Source organism: Homo sapiens, chromosome 13 (assembly GCF_000001405.40).
Source record: "Homo sapiens chromosome 13, GRCh38.p14 Primary Assembly".
NCBI lineage: Eukaryota > Metazoa > Chordata > Mammalia > Primates > Hominidae > Homo > Homo sapiens.
Window position 1 is genome coordinate 36300203 of NC_000013.11, and position 19542 is coordinate 36319744.

General features: G+C 38.3%; 1 protein-coding gene across 16 annotated transcripts in view, besides 3 other annotated features; it reads right to left on the reverse strand.

Annotated features, from left to right (window-relative positions):
* Positions 1436–19542, reverse strand: part of SPART (spartin) — a 68543-nt gene continuing 50436 nt past the window's right edge. For 15 of the 16 annotated variants that reach the window (NM_001142294.2, NM_001142295.2, XM_005266314.4 and 12 more), the window contains 4 exons: positions 14025–14219; positions 12117–12275; positions 11943–12033; positions 1436–4430 (listed from right to left, as the gene is read on the reverse strand). In NM_001142294.2, coding sequence (NP_001135766.1) covers positions 4163–4430; positions 11943–12033; positions 12117–12275; positions 14025–14219 — 713 coding nt within the window. In that variant the 3' untranslated portion in view covers positions 1436–4162. Of the gene's footprint in view, positions 4431–11942; positions 12034–12116; positions 12276–13765; positions 13881–14024; positions 14220–19542 lie in introns of those variants that run through there. The other variant, XR_007063671.1, reaches the window with a different exon arrangement.
* Positions 13259–14023: an enhancer, noted in NCBI's record as "NANOG hESC enhancer chr13:36887598-36888362 (GRCh37/hg19 assembly coordinates)". NCBI's record gives its function as "activates a minimal SCP1, AML or CMV promoter by ChIP-STARR-seq in primed H9 embryonic stem cells {active_cell/tissue: H9 hESC(primed)}" and the evidence as "EXISTENCE:reporter gene assay evidence [ECO:0000049][PMID:30033119]".
* Positions 15861–16695: an enhancer, noted in NCBI's record as "OCT4-NANOG-H3K27ac hESC enhancer chr13:36890200-36891034 (GRCh37/hg19 assembly coordinates)". NCBI's record gives its function as "activates a minimal SCP1, AML or CMV promoter by ChIP-STARR-seq in naive H9 embryonic stem cells {active_cell/tissue: H9 hESC(naive)}" and the evidence as "EXISTENCE:reporter gene assay evidence [ECO:0000049][PMID:30033119]".
* Positions 16696–17529: an enhancer, noted in NCBI's record as "H3K27ac hESC enhancer chr13:36891035-36891868 (GRCh37/hg19 assembly coordinates)". NCBI's record gives its function as "activates a minimal SCP1, AML or CMV promoter by ChIP-STARR-seq in primed H9 embryonic stem cells {active_cell/tissue: H9 hESC(primed)}" and the evidence as "EXISTENCE:reporter gene assay evidence [ECO:0000049][PMID:30033119]".

A 19542-nucleotide genomic window follows, 5' to 3' on the forward strand; every position in this document is an offset into this window, starting at 1 on the left:
TGTGTAAGTGTGCATTCATCTATAGACATTAAGTGGTTAACTTTTTATAATCTACAACTAAGGTCTTGAGTCCTGAAGACCTTCCTCTGGAGCCTCAGTAAACTTAATCTAAATGGGTCCAGGTGCTAGGGTGATTACCCCTGTCTCCTGCTAAATCAGGGAGGTTTGGGGATTCCTTCAGAACCCCAAAAAACTTGTTTAATCCTAAATGGGTCCAGCTAAGAATTCCTTCTTTTTTTTTTTTTTTTTTTTTGTCATGCTTTGAGACCTAGTTCTTGGTGGGTTTTTATTACATTCCAGCCTTTGTATAAGGGCTTTGGTTTTTTTAGCTTTTAGTATTTAACTTAGCCACTCAAGTCAGTACTGAAACAGTTGTTATGGAGGCCTGTGTTAATGAGACCTGGCCTGCCACAAGGTACACTCTGCAGCAGAATACTGATGAATGCACACACATGGTGGGGCAAGTACTCAGGCTGGGGAAAGAACCATCACAAAGGATTAGAGGGGAAATCCTTACAGTTTACAGAGGTAGGAATAATACCTGCTACCACCCACCAGAATGGAAAACCTCTGAATTCACAGGGCATCAGGTACACAAAGGATTTTGATTTAGGAGTCGGAAAAAACACTAGCCCTAACAAGTTGAAAAGAAAGATCCAAAAGTATCCAACTGGTTCTAAGTAACTTAATCCCCTCCCAAGACAAAACTCGAGAATATTTATAGGAACACAAAACATCCAGTACCCAATAAGGTAAAATTCACAATGTCCAACAATATCTTTAGTCTCGTTATGTTGCCCAGGCTGGTCTCAAACTCCTCGACTCGAGAGATCCACCCAACCTCAGCCTCCCAAAGTGTTGGGATTACAGGTGTGCACCTCTGCACCCAAGGTAACATTATTTTCTTAGGGTATGTTAGAACTCACCTGTAAGTCCATCTGGGGCTGATGTTTCTTTGTGGGAAGATTTTAAACTCCTTATGGAACTTGTTTAATCAGCCAAAATACTCCTAAAGAATTTGGTTGAGGGAATTGAGCCTCTTGCCCTAACAATCAGTAGGGCTTACTAATTTACAATGATGACAGTGTGGGACTGGCACAGGAACAAAAGAAATGACAGATGGAACAAACGTCTGAGCCCAGAAACACTCATACTCTATATATAGAGAAAGACCTGTGGGAAATTACTGAAGAAAAGAACTATTCAATAAATGGGGGTTAAATAACTGATTATCTACGGGGTGGGGGAGGAGGGGAGGAATTAGATACCTTACCTCTTGCACACATATACACAATTCTCAGTAAACACCTAAACATGAGAAGCAAAATTGTCAGCAGTGACAACACGCAAATTTTACAGCACAGGCAAATGAATGGCAAATGAACATGAAAAATTACTGATCTAAGGTCAGGAAAGGAGGTCAAGAAAACACAAATTAAAATTATGAGATACTTTTTTATATATGCTACATTAACAATAAAAACATTGCAAAGGGAAGTAATACTCAAGAGAATATCATCATTTTGGAAAATACCTGGCATTATTTTGCAAAACTTGACAAGCCAACAACTCCACTCTTACGCATAAAGTCTCTTGCATATGTGTACCAGGGGACAGTCAAGGATGTTTTGAGTGTACTGTTTCTACCAACAAAAACTAAAAACAAATGTCAACTGATAGGAAAATGAACACTTAAATTGTGGTATACTCACACAGAATACTATAGAGCAAGTAAACCATCCATGCATATAAGCGCAAGAATGAATTTTAAACATAAACTCAAAAAAGCAAGTTGAGTAAGACTTCACATTCAGACACTATATGTAGAAAGCTTCAAAAAATGAAACAGTATGTTTGGAGAACATACATGTGTGATTAAAAAATGGCAAGGAACAATAAAAAATGACATGGGGAAAGAGGTAAGAAAATAGGAAGAACATACATATAGGTAATTGGCAGCTTTCCATGTCTTTAGGTGTGATGAGTTTTTAAGTGTTGTTATTCATCATACCTTACAAGTAATATATAATTTTATCTATATATCAATCATTACACAATATAAAAAAAATCTTTAGAAGATGCCTATCTCCTAATGAGTCAGTGAATGGTGGGAAAAGTCCATTTTCTATAGACTAAGGCAGCACACTTTTTCTGCAAAGGGCCAGAGAGTGAATAAGTTAGGCTTGTGGACCATATACTCTCTGATGCAACTATTCAACTCTCACGTTGAACTAGACAGCAGCCATAGCCAATATGTAAACAAATGGGTACAGCTATGCTCCAATAAAACGTTATTTATGAAAACAGGTGGACATCTGGATTTAGCCCATGGAGGATATTTGCTGACCTCTGGTCAAAGCTAACTGTTTAAAGTTTATGTTCCATTATTTGCCATTCCATTTCTTTTTAAATTTTTATGGGTACATGGTAGGTGTATATATTTATGGGATACATGAGATATTTTGATACAGGTATGCGATTTATAATAATTACATCAGGGTGTATCTACTGCTTCAAGCATTCATTTGTGTTACAAACGTCCCAATTACACTCTTTTATTTTTAAATGTATAAAGTTATTGTTGACTGTAGTCACCCTGTTGGGCTATCAAATACTACAACAAATTCGTTCTAACTATATTTTCGTACCCATTAATCAACCTCACTTCCCTCCCCATCCCTTCAATGCCTCCCAGCCTCTGGTAACCATCATTCTACTCTCTATCTCCTTAAGTTTGATTATTGTAATTTTTAGCTCCCACAAATGAGAATATATGAAGTGCCATTCCATTTCTTAAACAAAGCATAGACTGTCTGTAAGCTATTTACCACTTCACTTTTATTTCCATTTTAACAACTAGTACATTATCCTTGGCCTTAGGAAAAGCCTCCATCAGTTCTATGTGTTCCCAAAATATAAGCTCATGTGATAACGAGGTCAGGCAATTCAGTTTTTTAATTCATAAAGTGCATTCTTCAGACAGCTTCAAATAATGTCTAATTAAGTAGCCACTAGAAGATCAGAAATTATTAGAATGGACTACAGCTATGAAAACTAATACCAATCTCTTAAATTCAATAAACAAAAATTAAATACCATTAGGTATTTAGTTACATAGTTTTTTAGCCTATGTAAGTAAATAGGGCTGTGAATAGTCTGCCTTCTGCCAAAGTGGAAACCATAATGCCTATCCACCATGGATTACGTCTAAGGTTTTCATATTCTTTACCCTGATTATGAATAGAACCTTTCCTTTTTAATAACTTGTCTTTTAATATAAATTCCAATGACCGAATCCCAGAATAAAAATGTTTACCATTAGTAAACTCAATTGTTTATATATATTTTTTTTACAAGTTTTAACCTTTTGGAAAAACAGAAGCAGATATGATAAAATAATTTCTTGAAGTACTTTTTTAATCCAATTAAGCTGATAATAATCACTTCGAATTTTAATACAATACAATCATGTTCCCAAATTTCCTAGGCTCATAACAATACAGTCTCAATACAAAAGACGTAATAATCTATTTTTATTTATTTTAAATCAAAGAGACCATTCCATTTCCTAACAAACAGGTAAGTTACAAAAGTAGTCCATTTTACTTTTCATCAGTCTTTCCCTGTTTTGAACAAGTTTTTTTGAGAATTCTTAGTTTTAGTTTTTGTTTAGCTTACACACTGAAAATTTTGAGAAGCATCTAAAAAAATCCACAATTAGTGCAAAAAGAGGGGACAATACTTTAAGTCATTCCTTCTATAAAAAGAATTAAGGTTACTAAATGCCAATTTTTAAGCAAATATATAGTTTCCTATTTGCCTTCTGAAAGACAGCAGATATAAAAATAGTTCAATATTAGGTTTAACAAGGTTTGAACAACACATGTACTATCAGCTTTATTTTACCTGCAAAAATATTTTAGCTACACTTGGAAAAAAATAAACTTGAGAATATAACTTCACATTTCTAAGGCCAGATGCAAGAATACTTATTCTTTTCCTTTTAAATAGAAGACATGCCATAAAATTTATGAAAGTTAATTTGTAGGAATGAATACATTTAAAAAATACTGGTTAATCTGTGAGGAATTCCACATTTGCCTATTTAACAAAATTTCATCCATTTCATAAGGCTTTGGTATAAGTGATTCCCAGCACTTCATCATTTATCTTTCTTCTTTGCCTCCTTTACTTCCTTCGTCTGCTCATCCTTCTCCCCTCTCACGTTGACATTTGCTGCTCCTTCTTGATTTTCCCTCTGAGAATTATCAACTATCTGATAGTCCTCAAGGAGAGTGTGTCCTGTTTGTGTTGCAGTTTTCTTCACCATTGCTTTGATACCAATGTTGTTAATATTGTAGGCAGTTACGCCAACATTGACCGCAGAATCCACCGCATGGTGGGTAGCTTCTCCTGCATTATATCCGTATCTTTAAAAGAAAGATTAGAGGACATACAATGAAACAATAAATATAAAATAAGGTCTTCTGAATTAGTATTAAATAAGTCAAATGATTACTGTGTTACCCCTGAAAGCAAAATTAAAGCTTAGGTTTCAATTTAATTAATAACTTAAAACACAGTAGAGAATGAAATCACACTCTGTGACAAAGCAGTATTTTCTCCTTTAGTAAAAACAGTGTGTGAAAATAAACTCAGACTAGCTGAGAATGATGTAATAAAGACTGTCAAGTAAAAATAAAAGTGTAAATTATAATACAGGTCATTAATCAGTCATTATTTCTTTTTTTAATCCTCCCTTTCTAGAAATATGAGGGAAAATATTCACAGAAGCAACTAATCTAGAGTCACGTAAGTAGTTTCAAGTTCTACCTTAACCAGACTTTGGCTATGTCTTTTAATTATGGGAATTTGAGTTAATCTTTAAACAGAGATTCTATGGCATTCTCCCCTGCATCCCACTCTACTGCACACTCACTGGCCTCCTTGCTGTTCCTTGAGCCCACCAAGCACTCAAAGGCCTTAGGACCTTTGTACTGGCTGCTCTCTGCTTGGACTTCCCATAGCTCTCTGCCTCACCTTCTTCAAGTTGGCTCAACTATAATCTCATTATCTAACCTGTTTAAATTGCCTTTTTCCACATGCCCACCTCCACCTCTTGACAATCGATTCCCCTTTACACTGCTTTTTTTCTCCCATTACTTACCACTTTCTACATACTATAGAACTTATTAATTATCACTGTTCATGTCTTGCTTCTCTCACTAGAATGTAAACCCTATTGGAGAGGAGAATCTTACCTTTGTCCTTTAACATATCCTAAACATTGAGAATAGTACCTGATATTCAATGAATATTCACTGAATGAATGAAATCAGTAATTCCTGCCCTATCTGCCTCAGAGTTTTTTGAGCATCAAATGCATAGCAAGTGCTTGGGAAATTATAAAGCATATACAAAAGAAGTTATTATTGATAATAATAATATCTGCATTTAATACTATTTCTATGATAAAATACAATTTGAGGTCCTATACAGGCACACCAAAACACATTTCCCTACTGTTTTGTTTTACTCTTTACCCCATTTTGGTAACAGGCTTTTAAAGCTTTTCTTGTCCACAGATTTCCCCCAAATAGAGGACTGTTTAAACAACAAACAAAACAAAGAGGCAAAAGTTTACATTTTCTCCAGGACACAGTGAAGTTTCCTAGATGCTTTATGACCTATATCTGGACATCTTATATAACACTAGATCTGCCTTTTGAATTAACAAGTCCTCTATTACTAAATAGCCTGGCCTAGAACAGTGGTTTGTGATCCCACCGGCTTGTTTGTGCTTGGCTTTTTTAACCCCAGTGTGAAATAATCTTATAGTGCCCCTAAAGGATGATTCTATTCTGTCCTTTGCCTAATGTTAATAATTATATTAGAGCTAGCACACAGCAGAGCCTAGTCTGTCAAACCTTCCAAGTCTGTACTACTCTTAATTGGGGGCCTTCTCACCAGTCAACAGACAGAAAAACTTCCTACAACTGCTTCGGACAGTCCCTGTTATGCAACCCCTCAGCATTCCACAGGATTTGCTGATAGTGCAGGAGATGCACCATTGCTGATGGTGCCTTCTCATTGTCAACCAAGCCCCAGTAACAAATACTACTGTCAGGTGGTAATGGCTGTGTCTATACAAAAAGAAAGGTATCAGCAGTTTCAGCACTGAAAAACAGTGACCGTAACTCTTGGTGGAGCCGGTTTCCCTGAGGGCTTATTTTTCCAGAACCATGTGAGCTACAATGAAGTGACACCATAACTCAACATAACTCACAACATAACTCACAGTCATGTTTTCAAGCATAGGAAATCCTCCATATTCACAAACTTCCACTTCTGAGAATTTGGAATGTTCCCTATTCCACTGATACAGTTTGATACCTCCAGCTGCACTCATATTTCTGTATGTAACACAGTTCTAAAAACTACATTGTCTTTAATAACGTACTAAAAATGAATTTGTTTTGCACCTTGTTAATTTTGTCTGTTTTTCTATGCTATCTCCAATGTCAGTAACAATTCCTATTAATTTGGGAAAAAAAAACAGAATATTCAGAAAACTAGATTCTAATGCCAACTATGCCAGTAACTAGCCATATGACCTTGGTCAAGTTTCTACCTCTTTACATATCATCAACTTTCTCTTCTTTATCTCAAAAAAACGATGTATATGTGTGAAAGCAGTTTTAAAATTCTAAAATACTAAACATGTATTTTTAAATATACTATAAAACAGCTTTTCATCAGTTGTATTTATTTTTTAATATATCCTCAACTATCACTCCTGCTTTCCAATATGCCTTAGAACTAGTTTTCCTAATAGGCATATGTTCTTTTCTTCATAAATAACTGTTTAGTCCTTTTCTTCAGATTCAAACTATACTGCTATAAACTCCTAGAAAGCATATGTCTGGGAGGAAGTTAAATTTATTTTTGATCTCTTATTTTTAAACAAATTTACTTTAATTAGAGCTCATTAAGTCGGATTTTATATACTAACACTACCAATTGAAAAATAATAAAAAATGAATGTGAAGTAGGCCTAAATAAGTCAACGAGATTCAAAACTACAATTGAACCAGATTTTTCTGAAATTTCTCCAATGTGTTCAGTTATACAAAACTGGTTTTGGGTAATATGACACCTGTCATTGAAGTTACCCCTTCATCCAGTGCAAATTTAGGAGGAATTTTAATTAAATTTCACTAAACAAACCAATAAATCAGCTACACTTAACTATAGCATAGTACCAAAAACCATAAAACAGTAAATTTTCTACAGGAAAAAAAGTCTATTATTAAGCTTATGTTCCACAAATATATATTCAAAGAAAATATTGCTGGGGAAAATAAAAATAGATCTAACTATCAAAGCTATATTATTATTCTTTAAACACTTTAAAGTGGAATAAAAGAAGCTTAAAGGTGAAACTTAAGCTTCATATGTAGAATGATGAATTATTGAATAGGTACTATACCGCAATTAAGTGTAGCAGGTTTAAAGTTACTTATTGTTTTTCATTATTCCTGTATGTCTTCACATCCCCAAATATAAGACAAAAGTATTAATGTAACTGACAAAAATAAACTGAATCTTAATGAATATTTTTTATGCATTTAGCTAAAAATTTTAAGAGTATAGTTATTTAATCCTTTGTACTGGCTTATCCACCTGAAATCAGATAAGGAAGTTTATATAATACATTTGGTTTTCTCCCAAGCATAAAATTAAAGGACATTTAAAATAACTATTTTGGAGAGCAATCGCTTATCACAGGCAATTAAGAACACAAATTTCCCTTATTATACTACCATCAGTTCGATTTGAGTACTCCACAAATGGTCATTCTATCAAATACTTTTTGATAGTAAACTTAAATACAGAAGAGTGTAAATAAACCTAAGTGTATGTAAACAAATAAGAACAAAATTAAACAAAGGTACAACAAGCTTTTCCATTTCTTCAGTTCTATCACTAAGTTATTACTGGTTCAATACTTTTAGTTTCTTCTCTTAAAAGACATTTTCTACTTTGGGCCAGATTAGCTCCAAAGGTGAGAAACAGTATTACTTAGATAAAATCTTTTATTCCCTACTGCCTCTCCCATCCTTCTAAATTTCTAATAGCAGAAACTAAATTACTGCTAAGACTGAATCATCCTCATAGTTAGAAATACAAAGCTACTTAACTAAATTCTCACTTACCTGGTTTTTATTTAAATTCCATGAATCTTTGGAAGAAAGGATAAAAAGAATAGCAATAATACAATAGAAATAAATGAGCTGAGAATCACTGTTAAAAATATGCTATTTATCATATTAAGTTCTCATTAAGGACCAGAAGTACAAAATCTACATTAAAATCCAGTATTTCCTAGTTATGTGAATCCCAAACTTTTAATAAGCTAATTGTAGTTAGGTAAGTTTTTTTTTTTTTTTTTCATTAGAGTAGGCCATAAAACCCAACAAAGCACTTCCTATTTTCTAATATGATAATCTAAAAATAATTCACTTTTGGCCTGAAAGGCATTTCTGAATTTCTCCTGTTCTTGCTACAAATAAAGAACTATTTTTCTAATTATGACTGATCCAAAGTAACCTCAGGGTCATAAAACAATGAATGAATATTAGAGTTCAGGCCACAGGTGACAAGAAGTGAGTTGGAAGACTTGAGTTTCATATTTCTATCAGAAGAATTTGAGATCTATTGTATGTTTTATCTCTCAACTCTTGGTAAAACTGATACTCTGGCCAGGTGTGGTGGCTCACGCCTGTAATCCCAGAACTTTGGGAGGCCGAGGTGGGCAGATCACGAAATCAGGTGATCAAGACCATCCTGGCTAACACAGTGAAACCCTGTCTGTACTGAACATACAAAAAATTAGCCGGTCATGGTGGCGGACACCTGTAGTCCCAGCTACTAGGGAGGCTGAGGCAGGAGAATGGTGTGAACCTGGGAGGCGGAGGTTGCAGTGAGCCAAGATTGCGCCACTGCACTCCAGCCTGGGTGACAGAGTGAAACTCCGTCTCAAAAAAAAAAAAAAAACTGACACTCCAAAATGATATGCCACATTGCTTTGATTTGATTCAAAGGTATGTATGTCCCAGAATGTAAACTAGTTCAGCCACTTTTGGGAGATATCTCAAAAAACTTAAAATGGAATTACCATTTGATACCCAAAAGAAAATAAACTGTTCTATCAAAAAGACACATGCACTCACTCACATGTTCACTGCACTATTCATAACAGCAAAGACATGGGATCAACCTAGGTACCCATCAACAGTGGACTGCACAAAGAAAACATGCTAATATATACACCATGGAATACTACACAGCCCTAAAAAAATGAAATCATATCCTTTGCAGCAACATGGATGCAGCTGGAGGCCATTATTCTAAGCGAATTAATGCAGGAACAGAAAACCACATGTTCTCACTTATAAATGGGAAATAAACACTGGATACTCATGGACATAAAGATGACAACAATAGACACTGGGGATTACTAGGCCGGGGAGGGAGGAGGGGAGTGTGAGCTAAAAGACCATCTATTGGGTACTATGCTTACTACCTGAGTGATGGGATCATTTGTACCCCAAACCTCAGCATCACACAACAAATTCTATGTAACAAGCCTGCACATGTACCCTTTAATCTATAATAATAGTTGAAATTATAAAAAAAGTAAAAATAAAGCAATTCCTACTTCCTATCTTAAAACAAACAAACAAATGTATTCATGCCCCAGACGGAGCAGATCGAACCAATTAAGGATGGAAATTAAATTAGCACTGTAGAGCACAGGTTCTGATGACAGAAACACTTGGTTTATATCCCAGCTCTACTATTCACTAGGAGAGTAATCTTTAACAAGGTATTTAACTTTACATTTCGGTTTCCTCATCTGCAAAATGGAGATAACAGTGTTGAAAATTAATTAATACGTAGGAAAAGCAATGATCACAGTGCCTAATACAAAAGTATGAACTCAACTAAATGCTGTCAATAAGTGGATAATTAACATAAATAACCACGAGTTGTGAATACTATCAATATTGCTCTTCTTTTTTCTTTCTAAATAAATAGTAAGATCCAAACTAATTCAAGGCTAAGAAAGCAACTCAGGTCCTTCATACTAGATTTATTTTTTAGACCTTGATTCTTCTAGTATTGTATAAAGAAAGTAGAGTCAGGTAGAAAGAATAAGGAGCTAAAAGCAGAAGACCCTGCTTTACTCTCACCTTCAATACCACTTGTATAAATTTGTTATATAGTTGTTGCTTCAGCATTTATTTTTAGGCCTGACATAAGTTGCTTGAAACCTAGTTGTATCCCACCACCTTTGGCCTAGTTAAAACTTCTCTCTCCCCCATGCGGTTGTCTGCAATACAGTATACTTGTTTCTCATCTCACTGACTCAAAACCCAACACACCCCCACAGCTGCTGACCACGAGAAAATCCAATGGTCAACACTAGAGTCATGTAAAACTAGAGCCATGTAAATGTTCCCCTGTTCACACTTGTTTTCTTTAAACTAGTCAATCCACAGGCCCCACTGGAAAGCCAAAGGAAGAACACCCATAGACTTTCGTGAAGGCAGTCACACAAATCACCTCTCCCTTGCTCGTGCTCCCTTGTTCACCCACCCTCGCCCCACCCACTGGTTGAGCACTCTGCTATCTCCAGACTTCCTGTTGGCCCTCATGCATACCGCTCTTCTCTCAAGGGTCTGTGAGTAATAAAAAGTTTCTGTTATTTCGTGTGTTTGGTTGTGCTGCCTTCTCTGTGTGTCACCTGACCAACACACCCAAACCTTGCTCTCCTCCTAGTCAGGGTCTCCTAGAGAGTAGCTATCTTAGTAGGAATAAACTGGACACAGGTCAGAAAAGAGCCACAAGGGCATCTGCCATAAACAAGTTCCCTGAGAGAGGGACACCTGGTCATGGGTGTGCCAGGATAAAGAAGTATCCTGTGAAACGCACACTGAAAACATTCACGAGATTTTTTCCTCTTGAGCCACAACACAGCAGGATTAGAATTTATAGCCACTCTCCAGAGACAGACCTTAAGGCCAAATAAGAAAGCAATCATAACACTAATCAGGTGAGTTTGTGCAAATCATTCATTTCTGTTTGTCCATTTCTTAATATATGAAATTGAAGATATACCATCTACCCATTCCAATACAAATGTACAGTGGTAATCAGAGTCAAGTAAGATGTGACATAATTTTTAACAGTCTGTATACCGAGTGGGCTAATATTAACATGGGGTATAAGAGTTTAATTATAATTCAAGTTTTTTCAGGCAGATATCACCCATCAAAAACATGTAGTCAGTTAATAAGGTATACAGAAATTCCAGGCTTTTAAAAAAAATAACCTTATTCTTCACAGTAATGATGAACAAATGTTTATAATGATTAGTAACATAAAGCAAAGTGACAAGAATTCTGTTATTATACTAGAAATACTATTCTTCTCCCTATTTAAGAAAAGCAGTGAGTGAAAAAAATTATTTTATCAGATACTTAATAAAAATATCTTGACCGTCATGGGTTTTTACAAATGCTACAAGAGATTTAGTCCGCCAGGCATGGTGGCTTACGCCTGTAATCCCAGCACTTTGGGAGGCTGAGGCAGGCAGATCACCTGAGGTCAGGAGTTCGAGACCAGCCTGGCTAATGTGGTGAAACCCCATTTCTACTAAAAAAAAAAAATTAGCCGGGCATGGTGGCGTGTGCCTGCAATCCCAGCTACTCGGGAGGCTGAGGCAGGAGAAATGCCTGAACCTGGGAGGTGGAGGTTGCAGTGACCTAAGATCGCGCCATTGCACTCCAGCTTGGGCAACAAGAGAAACTCCCTCTCAGAAAAACAACAACAACAACAAAACAGAGATTTAGTCATTAAAATAAAATTCAACTTACTTGTATCTGACAGTTTGTACAGTTTCTGCTGAAACATTGTTAACGATGCATTTAGCTGCACATTCCAATCCTTGCCAGACAGTTGAAAATCCTGTAAAAATAATATTTAAAACGATGTAAATCTAGTCCAAAGCAAACGGACCTTCATAGTTAAAATTCTGGGCCCTTTGTTACCTTGAACACTACTTGCTGCTACAACCATAGCACCATCCAGAGGAGATTTCCCATCTTTGTCTTTTTTAAGAGATTCTGGAACAAGTTTGCTTCCATGCTTCTTGACATGTGGAGCTAGTTCTTTTCCAACGCAATTTGCTACAGTGCAAACTCCATCAACTAATATGACCATAAAAAAAGAAAACTTAGGAAAAATATATTATTCCCTTGATTTTTACCACTCATCTTGCAACATTCTTAAATGAACATCTAAATTGTTTTACTATATAATGTTACAATTTCTTCTTAAGGATATGAAGCTTAGAGAGGAGGTCTCACTATGTTGCCCAGGCTGGCCTTGACTTGTACTCCTGGGCTCAAGTGATCCTCCTGCCTCTGCCTCCTGAGTAGCTGGGACTACAGGCATGAAGCATAGACTGGTTATTTTTTAAATGAAAGCTTTTGTTTGCTTTAAAGCTGTGCTTGCAGAGCCTACTGATGTTTATAACCTTGCCTCTCAGATATACATGCTCTTGCACTTCTGCTTGAGAAAACCAGCCACCTTTTCTATCTGACTGTTGCAATGCAAGATTGGTTGGTACTTTTAGCTTATTCCAGCTTAGCGTATTCATATTTTTCTACTGATAAATATCTCAGTTATCTCGGTGAATAAAAGTAAACAATCTAAAATCTGATTCAAAAAATACTAAATACCAAAAAAGATAATTTTACTAAATTTAATGGTAATCCATTAAGGTCCTATCTACCCACCTCAAAACACCAAATTTCAGTGCTGTGATTCTCTAAGAGCAAGGATTTAGAAGTACATTGCTTGGGAAGGTTGGCACCAGAATCACTAAGTCAGTTTTTCTCAAACAACAGATCCCTCCCTCTTGACCCTCAACTGCTAAGCAGTAAACTGCTCTCCTTGAAAGAATGTGTCATATCCCTTAGAAGGACTCAAGGATTCACATCCAGTCATGCTGCATAATGATGGTTTGGTCATTTCAGACATTTCATGGTCCCATAAGATTATAATGGAGCTGATTAAGTCCCACTGCCTAGTAACACCACAGCCGCCATAACATCATAGTGCAATTACTTTGTTTTTAAAATAAATTTAGTGTGGCCCAAGTGTACAGTGTTAAAAAGTCTACAATAGTGTATAGTAATGTCCTAGGCCTTCACATTCACTCACCACTCACTCAGTGACTCACTCAGAGCAACTTCCAGTCCTGCAAGTGACACTTCTGGTAAGTGCTCTCTACAGTTTTTATGCCATTTTTTATCTTTTATATACTGCATTCTTGCTGCACCTTTTCTATGTTTAGATGTGTTTAAATGCACAAATACTTACCATTGTGTTACAATTTCCTATAGTATTCAGTACAGTCACATGGTGTATAGGTTTGTACTTAGGAGCAATAGGCTATATCATATAGCCTAGGTGTGGAGTGGCAACGTTTAGGTTTGTGTGAGTACATGCTATGATGTTCACACAATGATGAAATCACCTAATGACACATTTCTTAGAACTTACCTCCTGCGTTAAACAATACATGACTTTACATTCAGAACTCTTTTTCAAAGATACACACATTCTCCTCTCCAACACATCAGAACAACCCTTTAACCAGTTTCTCAAACTTTAATGTGCAAATAAGAATCACCTAGGGATCTTGTGAAAATGCAGATTCTGAATCAGTAGGTGTGTCTGTCCCTAAAATTCTGCATTTCTAAGGATTCCAGATAGGACGATGTGATGTTGCTGGTCCGCAGGTCTCACTATGAATAACAAAGAGAAACTGCTTTGTCCTAATTCTTTATTCTTGAGATTAAACCATCTAAATGAACATGCAGATTAACCCTGGATTAAGACATTATTTTAAATATAACTTTAAAAAGTAAAGTTATCTAGAATTACTTTACCCAGGAACTGACTGACTTTTGCTGCTCCTCCTGTAGCTTGCTTCGCTATATAAAGTCCCTTGGTGACAGCTGGACTAACTTCCACGGGTTTTTCTTCTGGTTGAATCCGCTCTCGGAGTTTAGAAGCACCTTTCTGGATTGCCTTACCAGTAATCTCAGCACCTTTGACTAAACCCCAACTCACCCAGGAAGCACCTTTTTAAAAGAAAATTTAAAATTGCACAATATTAGGGCTAATTATGCTTTTGAACACTTTAATAAATAACATCAACCAGAAAAAAATAAAAGGAGTTTGATATTCAGATGCTAAATGTGCCATGTCATAAACTTTCAAGCTAACTTTATACCTGCAGTTTTCTTCCTGAATACTTAGTGACACAGTTCTGCGTTACTCTATGCTGCCACTACCTAGTACCTAGAAGGCCTGAGATTTAGTGGCAGCTGATAATTTCTGAAGATGACCACAAACAGTATCTCTATATGTTACTTACCACAGTATATTACTGTTAGGTATTAATTTTTAGTTTTGGTGCCATTAAGATAGAATTTGGCCAAAGAACCCAGATATTCTTGTTCTTTTTGCCTTAGGCCAGGCATCTCTTTTCCCCATGAAATCTTGAGGGAGAAAGACAGAAACATCACAAAATGGAAACCAAAGAAACTGCCTCTCAAACACCAAGGCAGAACTCTTACTTTCTTTAGGCTAAAAGCTTTAGTCAGGGGGTCCTGTTCCTTCCTGAATCCTAAACCCAAACTCTTGGATCTCAGCACCGTTTAGCTTGCTACACATACCTGAATGACAAAAACATGAGAACACTCAAATGCATGAGTAGAGAAAATCTAAAAGAAGAAGAGTGAGGCCCAGATAATTTGGCCATTTCTCATGACAGTGGGCCCTAGCCCTTTGCTTTGCTTTGCTTATGTTCTCGCAGCTTGAATGACAGAAGTGCTCACCAGAGGAACAGAGGGATGGAAGGGCCTTCTCTAGTGAGGACAAAAGGTCCTCAGCCAGTGGAAATGTGGGGAAAGGAGTGGGAGAGGGATGGGAAAAGAAAAAACATGTAAGAACAGTGTCCCCTAAGATGGAAGAAGTATTACCCTACTCTGCAGAGACTTTCAATTTAAAATATTTCTTTTTTGGCTAACACTTAACAATGAGCTTTCAAAGCTGAACATATGAAATACTTAATTATGTTCTCTCAAGGTCTGTGGCATGGTTTTACATGATTACTCCAGCCCATGAATAAGCATCCAGCAATCATGTGAAAACCACAGCAGTTTATTTTAAAATGTTAACAATGAAAAGTGACATGTAATAAATAATTAGAAATTTTATGTTTCTCTTCCTGTTTTAGTCAACATCTCTACCTCCAGCTCCAATCCTACCCCCACTGTCCTACCTGACAATCAACTTCTGGGGAAGTGCAGGATTCAAACCCAAGCAAACAGGCTTCCATAAACAACAAAAGGCTTGAAGATGCCCATTTAAAAAAATTATCTTTTTAGATTAACTTATAGGTTGAAAAGTTTTAAGAAGAAACCAGCTGAACATGAAGACTGAGAAATCATAAAATAAATGACAGTGAAACAAAGGAGACTATAATCCTATAATGAAATTATAAGAAATAACAGGGATGAAGTCAAATGATGACTGAGAAAAATAAATGGAAATGAGATAAAAAGTCACAGCACTAATAAAGAGAAATATTAGATGCAAATAATCACATATCACCATGGAAGTATACAGTATACATAAATATGTTAAAACTGTAAACACTGCAACAGAAGATAAGGAAATGCAATATTTCATCGGTAGCTATGTAGATATTTTAAATGGCATGTACAATGCCAGATATAGATTGATTCTGTTCATGTTTGCCTCCTATGCACTGTATTAATGCTGCCATATGGCAGACCATGAACGTTTGCTGAATAAATGAGACATTGGCAGATATTAAAATTCCCTAACTCAAACCTAACTACTACAGCTTGTGGGACACTGTCCACTTTTACTGAACTAAAGAAAGCTACCATTTACAGTTGTTATTAAAAACAGAAGTCACTGACCAGGTGCAGTGGCTCACGCCTGTAATCACAGTGTCAGGCCTCTGAGCCCAAGCCAAGCCATCGCATCCCCTGTGACTTGCACATATACGCCCAGATGGCCTGAAGTAACTGAAGAATCACAAAAGTGAATATGCCCTGCCCCACCTTAACTGATGACATTCTACCACAAAAGAAGTGTAAATGGCCACTCCTTGCCTTAAGTGATGACATTACCTTGTGAAAGTCCTTTTCCTGGCTCATCCTGGCTCAAAAAGCACCCCCACTGAGCACCTTGCGACCCCCACTCCTACCTGACAGAGAACAAACCCCCTTTGACTGTAATTTTCCTTTACCTACCCAAATCCTATAAAACGGCCCCACCCTTATCTCCCTTTGCTGACTCTTTTCAGACTCAGCCTGCCTGCACCCAGGTGAAATAAACAGCCTTGTTGCTCACACAAAGCCTGTTTGGTGGTCTCTTCACACAGACGCGCATGAAATTTGGTGCCGTGACTCGGATCAGGGGACCTCCCTTAGGAGATCAATCCCCTGTCATGTTCTTTGCTCCGTGAGAAAGATCCACCTACAACCTCAGGTCCTAAGACCGACCAGCCCAAGAAACATCTCACCAATTTCAAATCCGGTAAGCGGCCTCTTTTTACTCTCTTCTCCAACCTCCCTCACTATCCCTCGACCTCTTTCTCCTTTCAATCTTGGTGCCACACTTCAATCTCTCCCTTCTCTTAATTTCAATTCCTTTCATTTTCTGGGAGAGACAAAGGAGACACGTTTTATCCGTGGACCCAAAACTCCGGTGCCAGTCACAGACTGGGAAGGCAGCCTTCCCTTGACCTTTAATCATTGCAGGGATGCCTCTCTGATTATTCACCCACGTTTCAAAGGTGTTAGACCACGCAGGGATGCCTGCCTTGGTCCTTCACCCTTAGCGGCAAGTCCCGCTTTTCTGGGGAAGGGGCAAGTACCCCAACCCCTCCTCTCCTTGTCTCTACCCCTTCTCTGCTTTTCTGGGGGAGGGGCAAGTACCCCTCAACCCCTTCTCCTTCACTCTTAGCAGCAAGTCCTGCTTTTCTAGAGGAGGGGCAAGTACCCCAACCTCGTATCTCTGTGCCCCAATCCCTTATTTCCGTGCCCCAACCTCTTATATCTCTGTGCCCCAATCCCTTATTTCTGTGCCCTAACTTAACTCTGCGCCCCAATCCTTTATTTCCGTGCCCCGACCCCTTATTTCCGTGCCCCACCCCTTATTTCCATGCCCTGACCCCTTATTTCTGCACCCCATCCCTTATTTCCACGCCCTGACCTCTTATCTCTGCGCCCCAACCCCTTTTCTGGAAGGTAAGAACCCCGAACCCCTTCCCTCCGTTTCTCTGCTCTCTCTTTTCTCTAGGCTTGCTTCCTTCACTATAGGCAACCTTCCACCCTCCATTCCTCCTTCTACTCCCTTGGCCTGTGTTCTCAAAAACTTAAAACCTCTTCAACTCACACCTTACCTAAAACCTAAATGTCTTATTTTCTTCTGCAATGCCACTTGACCCCAATACAAACTCTACAGTAGTTCCAAATAGCCAGAAAATGGCACTTTGAATTTTTCCATCCTACAAGATCTAAATAATTCTTGTTGTAAAATAGGCAAATGGTCTGAGGTGCCTGACGTCCAGGCATTCTTTTACACATCAGTCCCTTCCTAGTCTGTGCCCAGTGCAACTCGTCCCAAATCTTCCTTCTTTCCCTCCCGCCTGTCCCCTCAGTCCCAACACCAAGCGTCGCTGAGTCTTTCTAATCTTCCTTTTCTACAGACCCATCTGACCTCTCCCTTCCTCCCCAGGCTACTCCCTGCCAGGCCGAGCTAGGTCCCAATTCTTCCTCAGCCTCTGCTACTCCACCCTATAATCTTTTTATCACCTCCCCTCCTCACACCTGGTCTGGCTTACAGTTTAGTTCTGTGACTAGCCCTCCCCCTCCTGCCCAGCAATTTACTCTTAAAAAGGTGGCTGGAGCTAAAGCCATAGTCAAGGTTAATGCTCATTTTTCTTTATCCCAAATCAGATAGCGTTTAGGCTCTTTTTCATCAAATATAAAAATCCAGCCCAGTTCATGACTTGTTTGGCAACAACCCTGAGACACTTTACAGCCCTAGACCCTAAAAGGTCAAAAGGCCGTCTTATTCTCAAAATACATTTTATTACCCAATCTGCTCCTGACATTAAATATAACTCCAAAAATTAAATTCTGGCCCTCAAACCCCACAACAGGATTTAATTAACCTCGCCTTCAAGGTGTACAATAATAGAAAAAAGTTGCAATTCCTTGCCTCCACTGTGAGACAAACCCCAGCCCCATCTCCAGCACACAAGAACTTCCAAACGCCTGAACCGCAGTGGCCAGGCGTTCCTCCAGAACCTCCTCCCACAGGAGCTTGCTACACGTGCCGGAAATCTGGCCACTGGGCCAAGGAATGCCCGCAGCCCGGGATTCCTCCTAAGCCCCGTCCCATCTGTGTGGGACCCCACTGAAAATCGGACTGTTCAACTCACCTGGCAGCCACTCCCAGAGCCCCTGGAACTCTGGCCCAAGGCTCTCTGACTGACTCCTTCCCAGATCTTCTCGGCTTAGCGGCTGAAGACTGACACTGCCCGATCGCCTCGGAAGCCCCCTAGACCATCACGGACGCTGAGCTTCAGGTAACTCTAACAGTGGAAGGTAAGCCCGTCCCCTTCTTAATCAATACGGAGGCTACCCACTCCACATTACCCTCTTTTCAAGGGCCTGTTTCCCTTGCCTCCATAACTGTTGTGGGTATTGACGGCCAGGCTTCTAAACCTCTTAAAACTCCCCAACTCTGGTGCCAACTTAGACAATACTCTTTTAAGCACTCCTTTTTAGTTATCCCCACCTGCCCAGTTCCCTTATTAGGCTGAGACACTAACTAAATTATCTGCTTCCCTGACTATTCCTGGACTACAGCTGTATCTCATTGCCACCCTTCTTCCCAATCCAAAGCCTCCTTTGCGTCCCCCTCTTGTATCCCCCCACCTTAACCCACAAGTATAAGATACCTCTACTCCCTTCTTGGCAACCGATCATGCACCCCTTACCATCTCATTAAAACCTAATCACCCTTACCCCACTCAACGCCAATATCCCATCCCGCAGCATGCTTTAAAAAGATTAAAGCCTGTTATCACTCGCCTGCTACAGCATGGCCTTTTAAAGCCTATAAACTCTCCTTAAAATTCCCCCATTTTACCTGTCCTGAAACCAGACAAGCCTTACAAGTTAGTTCAGGATCTGCATCTTATCAACCAAATTGTTTTGCCTTTCCACCCCATGGTGCCAAACCCATATACTCTCATATCCTCAGTACCTGCCTCTACAACCCATTATTCTGTTCTAGATCTCAAACATGCTTTCTTTACTATCCCTTTGCACCCTTCATCCCAGCCTTTCTTCG